General features: G+C 33.6%; 1 protein-coding gene across 50 annotated transcripts in view; it reads left to right on the top strand.

The window, feature by feature from the left end:
• RBM26 (RNA binding motif protein 26) overlaps window positions 1-12,397 on the top strand; it is a 94,429-nt gene that overhangs the window by 45,081 nt on the left and 36,951 nt on the right. For 16 of the 50 annotated variants that reach the window (XM_047430522.1, XM_047430519.1, XM_047430516.1 and 13 more), the window contains exons 10-14: window positions 1,489-1,600; window positions 2,742-2,901; window positions 5,791-5,955; window positions 6,605-6,736; window positions 7,951-8,022. In XM_047430522.1, coding sequence (XP_047286478.1) covers window positions 1,489-1,600; window positions 2,742-2,901; window positions 5,791-5,955; window positions 6,605-6,736; window positions 7,951-8,022 — 641 coding nt within the window. The remainder of the gene's footprint in view (window positions 1-1,488; window positions 1,601-2,741; window positions 2,902-5,790; window positions 5,956-6,604; window positions 6,737-7,950; window positions 8,023-12,397) is intronic. The other 34 variants (XM_047430534.1, XM_047430533.1, XM_047430531.1 and 31 more) reach the window with 3 other exon arrangements.

The raw sequence follows: 12,397 nt of genomic DNA, 5'->3' as shown, positions 1-12,397 counted from the left end.
AATAGAAATGTTTAAGAAAAATAAAAGATAGACTTAATATGAAAATAATTTGAACGTTCTGCATAGTGAGTTTTGAGATACCTGTAGGATTTCCAGAGAGAACAAAGAAGTTGAAAATTTAGAATTGAGTATATGCTCTCCTCCTGCAGGAGACCATAGCTGTGGCCATGAGAGATATTGTGCTGAAACAGATCTTCAGTTCTTTTGGTTAGTTAGGTGTTTAGAAATATGTAAAAATAGGATTTTAGACAAATCAATTTTGCCATCTATAAAAAAGGAGTTTTTAAGTTACATTTTTCTATGTGGATTAAGGTTTGCATGTTTTAAACTTTGGAGTCATTTGGGAATAACAGGTTAAATGTACTATGCTCATTACATGCCATGTAAGTAAATATAAAATGTTGAAAGTAACAGACTTTTACAGCTCTTTTACACTGTATTTTAGACTTGAATCTTTTCCTTTTTTAAAGCAAGTATGCTTTCATTACATTCATATTTTATGAGTCTATTCCATATTTAAAAGCAGCTCACTTCAATCATAACTCTAACCTTTCACTTCTCAAAGATTATTGGATTAGTGTAAAGTTTTGAATCTTTTAGATTGTGCATTTGATTTCAAAACTATGAACTTAAAGCCTCAAAGTGATTATTTTCTCATTTGTGCATTGATATATATATATATATTTGTGGTGAGGGTGATGGTAGATGGGAACAATGACTTGGGTTTTATCTACAAAGAAGTGACCTACAGAATCACATTTTAATTTGGCATGTGAGAATTGATTCTTTTTCATAGTTAATTGTGAAATGAATATGTTGAAATAAGTTTGAAAAAACCCTTAGATTACTGTATTTGAATGTACAGTAATTCCCCTTTGTCTGTGGGTGATATGTTCCAAGACTCCTCGTGTGTAAAACCACAGAGTACCAAACCCTACATATACTATGCTTTTTCCTATACAGTCACACCTGTGATAAAGTTTCACTTATAAATTAGACACAGTAAGAGCTAAACAACAATGTCTAATAATAAAATGAAATAATTATAACAATATACTATAATAAAAGTTATGTGAATGGTCCCTGTCTTTCTCTGTCAAATATCTTTTTGTATTTACCCTTCTTGGGATGATAGGGGATGATAAAATGCCTACATGATGAGATCAAGTGTTGGAGCAGGATGGTGTGAGATTTTATCACACTACTCAGAACTGCAGGCAGTTTAAAACTTAGGAATTGTTTACTATTTCTGTAGTTTTCCATAATTTTGGACTGTGGTTGACTAGAGATAACTGAAATCGTAAAAATGAAACTGGATAAGGGGGAGCTACTATACATTTATTTCTATTTCTTCTAAAAAAAAAATTATATATATATATATATATTTAGACAAAAGCCAGAAATTTTCCTGTATGAGGAAGGTATCTATGATAAATAGAAAATATTAACCTATGCTTATTTTTTTCATTTTCTTTTGTTTTAAAACAGAAAAGCCTCCCAATAAAAGCAGTATGAGGATAGTAGTGGACTCAGAATCAAGGAAAAGAACCATTGGTTCTGGAGAGCCTGGAGTTCCTACAAAGAAGACTTGGTTTGATAAGTAAGGTGGCCAGGAAAATTGAGGAGTATAATTGTGCATTGATTTTCAGGATCATTTCTGTATTATTATGACAATATGGTTTGGTTTCTTCCAAAAATGTTACTCTGTTCTGTAAGCAATCCCCAAGTGTGAGTTTTCTAAAAATTGGCAAGTTAGTTGTCTGATGTTAGAAAAGCATTTTCTTACAGAAATGGTGTGGTAGTTCAGGGCATAATTTTTTCCTCTTATCATTTACCCTCCTCCAAAAAACCCACTCTTTAACTTAGACCTGTTGAATACTAGCTATATACAGGATAGTCATGAGCCTCTCATCATTAGAGGAAGGAGGTATAGATCAGACCTGTCAAGAGACTTTCATATGTAGGCAGTTCCTGCTAGGTAGGAGCTAGAAAGGGCTTTTGTGGGGGTTGGAGAGGCTGTCTAGGCATTGAATGGTCAAGAAAGAGCTTCAGATAAAGGGGTAAGGAATCAGAATGTTAAGATATGTGTGAGGTGATTCATTTATAAATAAATCTGTGAAGAGAGACTAGGATCACTTTTAGAGCTTTAACATCTACTTAATAATGGATAGTTTCTAGTTGTTTGTGATTAATTCTGTGATTTAATGCAGAGTAACCTCTCTAGGCCACAGTTTTGTCCTTTCTTCAAGTGTCAAAATGTATTCTTTATAGTTCCAACAATTCTTTTTTTCTTTTTTTAAATAAAGCGGGAAAGAGGTTGAGACTGTCATCAAAGAAAATAAAATTTAAAATCAAATTTAAAACATAAAGTTTTAAGATAGGATATTTTTTAGTAAGCTGACTTTTACAGAATCAGAATAAAGGTTATATATGCAAATTGACTAAAAGAGGATATTGAGACTTTTCCTGATAGGAATGTTAAGTAGAGGTGGATCAGAAGTGGAAAGTAACAAATGATATGGCAGAACCCTTCTCAGTTGGCTTCCATGAAAGATACTAACAGTGTTCATTTGGAAACTTCATTGTTGGAAGAAAATTTAAATTTCCTTTATCAACCAGTAATTTCAGTTTGGGGGAAAATTGAACTTAATTGGATATCTATTTTGTTAAACTTTATTCCCTTGTATTTGGTTAGGGTCAGGATTTATAAATGTATTGACTAACTTGAATTTTGTTTGCAGACCAAATTTTAATAGAACAAACAGCCCAGGCTTTCAGAAGAAGGTTCAATTTGGAAATGAAAATACCAAGCTTGAACTTAGAAAAGTTCCTCCAGAATTAAATAATATCAGCAAACTTAATGAACATTTTAGTCGATTTGGAACCTTGGTTAACTTACAGGTAAGAGCCATGAAATGGTTTTGTTATCTCTTCTTTCTGTTTAGGGAACTTAATGTAATAAGAAAACTACCTTTATAAATAAATATTTTAAGGCTGGGCATGGTGGTTCACGCCTGTAATCCCAGCACTTTGGGAGGCCAAGGCGGGCGGATCACCTGAGGTGAGGAATTCGAGACTAGCCTGGCCAACCTGGTGAAACCCCATCTCTACTAAAAATACAAAAATTAGCTCGGTGTGGTGGCAGGCACCTGTAATCCCAGCTACTCGGGAGGTTGAGGCAGGAGAATTGCTTGAATCTGGGAGGCTAAGGTTGCAGCGAGCCGAGATTGCGCCACTGCACTCCAGCCTGGGTGACAAGAGCAAAACTCTGTCTCAAAAAAAAAAAAAAAAAATTGTTATTCTGAATTGGGAAAATTGGACATGAAATGGAACTCTACCTTTTAGGAAAAAATACAATTTTTAGTGTTTCAATTGATCATATTATCATAAACTTTTTACCTAATAAAGGTTGTCATAAAACTACAGCAAAGTTAATCACACTGGTAAAATCCAATCTTACAATAGTTTTCAGTTCCTCAGTTTCTCAAAATCATTTCAGCAGAAATTTTAGTCAGATTTTTGTCACTCCTATGGTGGGATGCACTTAATAGAGACTTTTGGGGCCCAGATACCTTGTAATCTGTAATTAGTTTAAACATTTACTTTTTCTTTACCACTTTTGAATATTCTTCAAGGTAAGTAACACTAACAGTAATTTGTATTTGACTGCACCTATAATTAGACCTTGGCTTGGGTATATGTAACTTGGGTGTTTTTTTAGTATTGAGTTTATATTATGTGATATGGTGAAAGTGTTGAAATAGTATGTTGAATTTTTCCCCCATTTTGTATGGTGTTCTTTTTGCAATTAAAATAATTATATTTTATAATTTAATAAAAACAAATTTTAGAGGATACAATTCATCCTAACAACTTAGGATGTTTTGGAAAGTTTTGTTTTCTTGCCATTGAAAAGTACTATAAAAGTAATAGAGCGGGAAAAAGATTCATGTTTGATTCAGGTAGGGCAACAGAGATATATACATAGAATTTAAAGGAAATGGTTCCCTTTCAACTGTCTATTCCATTCCCCTGCCCATCTATAATTACATTATTGTTAACAGTTTATCATGTGTTATTTTAGATTGTTACACAATTCTGTGTCTATTTATCTGTACACAAACTTAAAACTATTTATGAGCCCATAGTATACACATTACCCTGTGGTTATTTACTTAATCTTGAATATCTTTGAGTTGTCTTTTTATGGCAATTTCATTTGATCTACCACTATATCTAGTCATAAAAAGGTTTTCAAAATATTCTTCACACAATTAACTACACTGGTAATATTTAAAATTTTTTTTAAAGCTGAGGGGCAAAACATACCTCACTATTGCTTCTATTTGCATTTACTCAATTACAAGTGAGGTTGAAATCTTCTGTTGATTGGTTCTTTTGCCATGTCTGTGTACTACCTGTATTATTGTTCTTAAAACATGTTTTTCAAAATCAATTTTCAAAACTCTTTAGCTTCATGCTAATTAAACATAGTGATGAAATTGATGTTTATAAAGTCTTAAAAAATGTATAATTATTAAAATGTTACCAAAATTATCTTTATAGTTATAATTAATGTTTATTGAATACTTCTGACTGTGTACAATCTCTGTTCTAAGTGAATTATTTAATTCTTAACACTGAAGAGTGGATATGGTTATTCTCATTTGTAGAAAAAGAAAACAAGGCCCAGAAAGGTTAAGTAACTTGATCATGTTCATGTGAGAGTAGCTGCCAAAGTTTGAGCCAGGCAGTTTGATTCCAACTACTTTTTTGTTTTTTTTTGTTTGTTTTTTTTTTTTTTTGAGACAGAGTCTCACTCTTGTCACTGAGGCCAGAGTGAGGTGGCATGATTACGGTTCTTTGTAGCCTCGACCTCCTGGGCTTAGGTGATTCTCCTGCCTCAGCGTCCCGAGTAGCTGGGACCACAGTTGTGTGCCACCACACCCGGCTAATATTTTTTCAATTATTATTTGTACCAGTGGGGTCTTAATATGTTGTCCAGGCTGGCCTTGAACTCCTGGGCTCAAGCAGTCCTCCTGCCTTGGTCTCCCAGAGTGCTGGGATTACTGACATGAGCCACCATGCCTGGCCCAGGCCACTGTTAATCTCTTTTCTGTATTGCTGCACACCACCAGTGGTTTATATACCACACTTTGGAAAACTCTATTATTGAAAGAATAGGAATTTGAAGTGAAAAGTCTTGGATTTATTACTTATTAGCTGTAAGTGTCTATAGAATCACATTCCTTGAAATCTCGGTTTTCTCATGTATCAAATGTGATTGATGCTGTTGTTACATGGTCTCTTTTTTTTTGTTCTTAAATTTTCTTGTGCTTTTGGAAATGTGAGAATTACAAATTTGGGCAATTGTTCAGATGGATTTTTCTGTAATTTTTTATTAGAGATAACCCCTTGCAAAGTAATTTACTGCCTTCTTCAGATTCTGTGGATCTTTGCCATGTCATTTATTGACAATAGGGATTGTTTCTCATAGTTGCTATTAAAATTGGGAATAAAAAGAGAAACACTTTGAATGCCTATATGTAACATTTATGCAGTCGACTTTCTCTGCTATTATATAGAGGAACTCTTTTTATGCTGTGAACAATCCTTGGTTACTATTTCTTCTGGAGTAAAAGTAGACTGTGGTCTACTAATCCAGATACCAAGAAGTATAAATACAGAATCTTACTTGGAAGGACCAGTATTTCACTTACTGGGGAATTTTACTCTATGAAGCAACAGATTCCTTTGGAAATTCACTGTTCTTAATATTTTAAATCTTAGGTTGCTTATAATGGTGATCCTGAAGGTGCCCTAATCCAATTTGCAACATACGAAGAAGCAAAGAAAGCAATATCAAGTACGGAAGCAGTATTAAACAATCGCTTTATTAAGGTTTATTGGCACAGAGAAGGAAGCACCCAACAGTTACAAACTACTTCTCCAAAGGTAAGAGAGGAATTTGTGTAAAAGTACGCGCATTTCTTAGAAAGCTCTTAGCATAGCGTTTACGAGTAGAGGCATTGGAATCAAGTAGGCCTGAGTTCATACCCTGGTTCTGCATTTAGCTTCTGTTACCTGTAAAGACTTGAAAAATTTACTCAACCTTTCTAACCTGTTCTCTCATAATTGTGATGTTAATTGCTAGTTGAAAGAACAGCATGGTGTATGTGAGACATATGGAATAGTCCGTGGCAGATAGGAGTACTCAGCTATGTATATTCCAGAAATTTAGACTGTAGGTTCATCTTAGAGATTCTCTCTTCTTTCCCCTCTCCCCTTTCTCCCTCCTTTTTGTCCCAACCCCCATCGGTGTGTAATGTTAGAGTGTTTATAGAGGTATATTACAACAGTATGGGTTTTGATTGTTAGAAGATATTGAAAGTTGGACTTTAATTTATTCCAGTAAATAAGTTATTTTATGCAAAGAAAACATCTTTGTATATGTGTGGATGAAATTAGAAGGCAGTTAGGTTTTGACTATAAGCTGCATTTTAAAAACTTTCTCTGCATGGGCAATGTAGTAACAAAATAACACAGGTCACTTTCCATCCTTTTGAATGAATCAACTTGTTTAACATTTTTTCCTTGTTCTGAGGTAATGCAGCCTTTAGTCCAGCAGCCCATTTTGCCTGTTGTGAAGCAGTCAGTCAAAGAGCGGCTGGGTCCAGTACCTTCAAGTACTATTGAACCTGCAGAAGCCCAGAGTGCCTCTTCAGACCTTCCTCAGGTAAAGCAAAGGTCTTACGATTGTGCCCGTAATAGGTTCTCAGTAATTTAGTTTCCCTTGGTGATTTGAATTATAGTTAATTGTATATATTTTACATAGAAATATGATAGTCTTTACATATTTGAACCCCACCTATAAGGTTGTTTTTTTTTTTTTAATTTTTACCATTACCATAACATTTTCTCAGTCTCTACTTTTCCTATAGTATTTAAATCTTAAATTCCTCTCTCCAGTTAATATTTATGAGAAAGATTTCTCTCTCACTTTGTGGAGGAGATACATGTCAGCAAAACTGCCCGAAGAGTGAAGTTGAGTACATTAAATCTTATTTTTTCCATCATCTTTTTACTTAATTAGAATTCTGTTCCGGAGATAATTGTGTAGTAGACTGAACTAAACTAAAAGCTTATGGTAAGGGAAGGCTTAAACCATCAAGTTAAGCATGCTTGATATTATACTGTTTTAAGTACTTAGACTGCTCTCTCATAACTTTGCATCACTTATTCCTGACTCTGGGATTCTTTTCTCCATATATCATTTCCTTCCCACTTCCTTCAACACTTGAGTGGCAGTTTCTTGTTTCTACATTCTCAGTCTCTGAAACTTAGCTTTCCTTTGTCTCCCGATGTTTCAGCATTTGCTGTGTAAAATAGAGTTAGGATGTAGTGTCCTACTTAGCTAGTGGATGCCACCTTATTAAAGTAGTCTTCCTAGATAATTCCTGAAGAGTAAGATGCTGAATTTCTGCAAGGACATGCAGAATGTCTATTGGTAAATTATTAGTTAATTTAAAAAATTCCCAGTCCTATCATCCCAAATTATCACCAAATACAGTATATTTGGATATAAAATAAACATACTTTAGAAGAAGTTGGCACTATTTTTAAGCTCAGTAAGTGGGCATATATTTTAATTTTTAAAATTTGAGATTTTCTCCTAATTTATTCTGTGTCAGTGGCAGGGACTTTAGCAACCACGTGGCTCAGACCTCTTAGTTTACATCATTTTTCATGATTGAATAATATTGCATACTGTTTATTTTTGTTTTCCCACATATTTTCTTTCTGTCTCTTTTAAGAAGGACCAAGTTTTTGTGGTTAGTATTGGTATACTCATAGACTCTGTATATATTAGTAGAATCAGAATGTTCAAGATCCCAACAGACTTTTATATGTTTGGGGAAACACTGAATATGTCCATTTTAATTTTTTTAGAATGTAACTAAGTTATCTGTGAAGGACAGGTTGGGTTTTGTATCAAAGCCATCTGTTTCAGCAACTGAAAAGGTAAGAAGAATAGCATGATGTGTTTGTCTTGGCTTCATAAATGTTTTCAGGTGGCATCTTAATTTTTAATTTTTTTTCATAGTTCTAAACTCTTGCTTCTTAATAGTATCTGTATCTTTTCCTACCTTTTGGTTTCCATTTGCTGAAAAAGAAAAATATTTTCCTTTTTTTACTTTTGCATCAGCATTTTAATACTTGCCTCCCACTATATTTCCATGTACTCCATTCCTTTTCTTTGTTTTATTCTTTTTATTTACTTTGTTTTCTTTAGAGATACTGTGCATTTTGATTTGACAACTCTGGCAGCCTAATAGAAAGGGCCATGATTAGGAATTTCACCTGAGTTTGAGCCCTGGCTCTTCACTTACTAACTGCATGACGTTGGGCAGTGTTCTTAATTTTTCTGAATCTTTTTACTCATCGGTAAAATGGTGATGGTAATATTTATCTTGCTCATGGGGTTTTCTGAAGATCAAATAAAATCATTTATTTACAAATATTTTTGTAAACTGGAAAGGATGATGTAAATGTAAGTTTTTCACTTATTACTAAACAGTAATAGAGGTAGCATAGCAATACATATAGTCATTTCTTTTTTTTTAAATGAAGGGGGGTAAATATTTATTAAATCAAGACCATTTATGGATATATCTTATAGTTCTGTGTAGATGTTATTTTTTTTTTTTGTTTAGGTATGAGTAAATACTTTGTCTTTGATTTTATTTGAGGCATATGAAATCACAGAATGTGAGAATTAAATAATCTTTCTTAGTTCTATATGCTTATCTTAAAGTCAAGGCCCAAACAGTGTTATGATTTCATCTGTATACTGTGAGTCACTGAGCCAGAACTAGAATTTGGGGCTCCTATTTTTAGTCCATGGCTCTTTTCAGTCTGAAGATTGGGAATCAATTTCAGAGATAATGCATCAGTGAGATAGCTGCCCTGCTGTCTTCACTATATTCTTCAGTATATTATTTTCTTTATTTACAATGTTAAACTTTGGCAGTTTTAGGTATTTGAATCTGAGTTTGTGTATCAGACTTTGCTCTTGGGCATCTCAGCATTACTTCGGGCATAATGTGCCTAAAATGAATTCATTATTTCCTATATAAATTAATTTATCCTAGCCCTTAGCTCAGAAAGTGATAACACCATTTTCTAAGCTGTGTGATCCAAAAGCCTTACAATCATTTGCTTGTGTTTGTAGACCACTTCTTTTTCTGCCACCTTCAGTTCCCTAGCCTCTGGGTGCAGTGTCTTAACTGGCATCCTGGAATTCCCCTCGTCTAGTTTATACTGTCACCATCTTACACTCAGACTTATTTTGGCGTTAATTCATTATAGAAACTTTGAGTTTCTCAGCTAAATTACTTTCCTTGATTCACAGCTCATCGATAACTCAATAATTCTGGTTCTATTACTTCTGCTCTAGTCTTTTTACCCAAGGGAGTACTTTTCTGCTCGTTTTCCTTTGGCCTTTCCTGACTTTTATTATTTTATTTTATTTTTTTGGTGGTGATTTTTCTGGAGTGCATTTCCCCCCCCGCCGCCCCAACTAAATTCCAGTCATTATTTAAAGAGTGAAAGTCTCTCTAACATCTCCCATGAAACCTCCAGATTTTTCTGTTATCCCCACCTCCTCCTTGGAATTTCTGTGCTGCTTAGTCTGTGCTACTAAATTTAGCAGTATCAAATACTTACTTGGATTAGGTTTATCCTCGTTGAAAATAAGTATTTCAGAAAAAAGAAACACTGGAAGTGTTTGAGGTGATAGATTTTGATTATTACATAATGTATATATGTATCAAAACATCACACTGTACCCCATAAATATGTACAGTTCTGTCAATTAAATGTAAAATAAAATTTAACACTAAGTTCAGCTGTACTTAGTGTACTACTGAGAAATTCTAGAGACATCTAAAATGCTCAGTTATATTTGGAGTCTGTAATGTCAGATTTGGACTTTTGAAATTGAAGTGTGTACTCATAGCTTTTATAAAATTTTTGCAGTGTATTGTGAGTACAAATTTGTAGTTGATAATATAACTTTACTAATGCATAGACTAATATATATACCCATATATTATGCTAATGCAATAAACTACTAACTGAATTTTTATGGGAAAAAAATCATTTATGGTAGCAAGCTATTTATGGGGAAAAATATTTTTGATAAATACCGTAAACAGCCTATTAAGGAAAACAGTAAGTATGTAACTTTTATTCATCTTCAGTGAGTGTCTTTACAGAGAAACATTTTATTTTTGCTTATTTTTGTTGTTTCTGTTCCCCTAATCCTTAGGGGGTTTGGGTCCAAAATACTTACAGGGCAGTGATTCAAAGAAGTCTTAGAAAGAATAGAAGAATGTTCCCCATCATCAAATATTAGTTGAAAGATTCTTTTTTTAAAAAAAATGAAGGCAGGGGAAAACCCAAAGCTTGTATCTATACAGTATCCTATGTCATTATTAAACTAAATAAATACACAAATGTAACATTTTATACCTTCCCTATCAACAACACACAGTAAAACCTTTAGTGATTATTCTTTATCCTGAGACCCCATTTTCGTGAGGAGGCTAGAAGAGAGGAAAGTTAAAACGTAATTGCTGCTGGTAAATATGAAGATATTGCAAGAGGTATTTAGTTATTATGTGAATAGATTTGATAAATTATGTTTGAGTGCCTCTGCTTACTAAAGAAATTCATGAAGAATAAAGGGCTACATCTGTGTATACTGTCCTGGTTAGTTTTTTAAAACAGACTTAAGACCGTTCAAATTATCTTGCTGAATCCCTTCTAAATTCTAAGAAGGCAAACTGCGTAACCAGTGGAATATTTAATCTTCTTTATCATATCAGCTTTAAATATCAGATTTATGATACAGGATGTTATTGTTCTTGTGGTTTTTGCAATGTAAAAATATATCTTGGTCTCTGCATGATGATATATTAACATCTATACCATGGAACTTTTAAAAGGAAAATTGTGTGGTATAATTAAAAGAATATTGCATGTTATAGAGAAACTTCACCTGTTGATTTAGCAGGTGCCATTGTGTAGATGCTAAGCAAATCTTAATATGTTTCCTTGGATTTTTGAAATTTGAATTTGTTGTGTAACTTTGCTAGTTAAAAGATTTAGAGGGATTTGGCTGGGCGCATGGCTCACGCTTGTAATCCCAGCACTTTGGGAGGCCGAGGTAGGCAGATCACGAGGTCAGGAGTTCGAGACCAGCCTGGCCAATACAGTGAAACCCTGTCTCTTCTAAAAATACAAAAATTAGCTGGGCCTCGTGGCGGGCGCCTGTAATCCCAGCTACTTGGGAGGCTGGCAGGAGAATCACTTGAACCAGGGAGGTGGAGGTTGCAATGAGCCGAGATGGCGCCACTGCACCCCAGCCTGGGTGGCAGAGCTAGACTCTGTCTCAAAAAAAAAAAAAAGAGTGGGATTTATCATAGTTTTTTTTTCTTAACTGTTATTGACTATTTTTAATTTTTATTTTTTAATTCAGTGGCCTCTCAGGATTATTACCTGCATTTTTTTTTCAGGAAAATATGAAATTAATTTATTTGAGTGTATTAGCTTTGCTGAACTTTGTAGTAACTAAGCTATTTGTGTAGCAAAAATTCATTACTAGCTGTACATATTTTTTACTTTGATGTTTGTTAAAATATTTCTCTGCAAGTTTTTTAATCTTTGTTTCTTTTAATCCCTTTGTCTATTTCACTTATATGTGGAATCTTAAAAAGTTGAACTCATAGAAGCAGAGAGTAGAATGGTGGTTACCAGTGGCTGAGGACAGGGGATTGGGAAATGTTGGTCAAAAGATATAAAACTTCAGTTAGATAGAAGAAATAAATTAAAGATATCTATAGTACAACGTGGTGACTATAGTTAATAACAATGTGTTGCATTCTTGAAAATTGCCAAGAAAGCAGCTCACCACAAAAAAAAGTGACGTAATACAAATGTTAATTAGCTTGACTTAGCCATTTTACAGTGTATATATTTCAAACAGCATGTTGTACATGATAAATACACAGACAGTCATCAACTTACGGTGACTTGACTAACAGTTTTTCAATTTGATGATGCATTTATTACTTACAAGTTGAAAATGTATTTTCAACTTAAATGGTATTTCAGCTTACAATGGATATAGCCCCATCATAAGTTAAGGGACATCTCTATACAGTTTTTGTCAATTAAAAGAATAAAATTTTGAAAGCTACAAAAAAGATAAGGTAGATCAGTGCATTAAAACATACTTTGTGTTCTTGAAATTTAAAAACGATTAATATCTAAAAGTATGTATAAACTTAACTTTAAACCAAAATCCCATTCTTCTCACCAGAATTCTCAGGTT

This window comes from Homo sapiens, chromosome 13 (genome assembly GCF_000001405.40).
Source record: "Homo sapiens chromosome 13, GRCh38.p14 Primary Assembly".
Classification (NCBI taxonomy): Eukaryota; Metazoa; Chordata; class Mammalia; order Primates; family Hominidae; genus Homo; species Homo sapiens.
The sequence above is the reverse complement of the archived record's forward strand: the minus strand, read 5'-3'. Positions and strand labels throughout refer to the sequence as shown.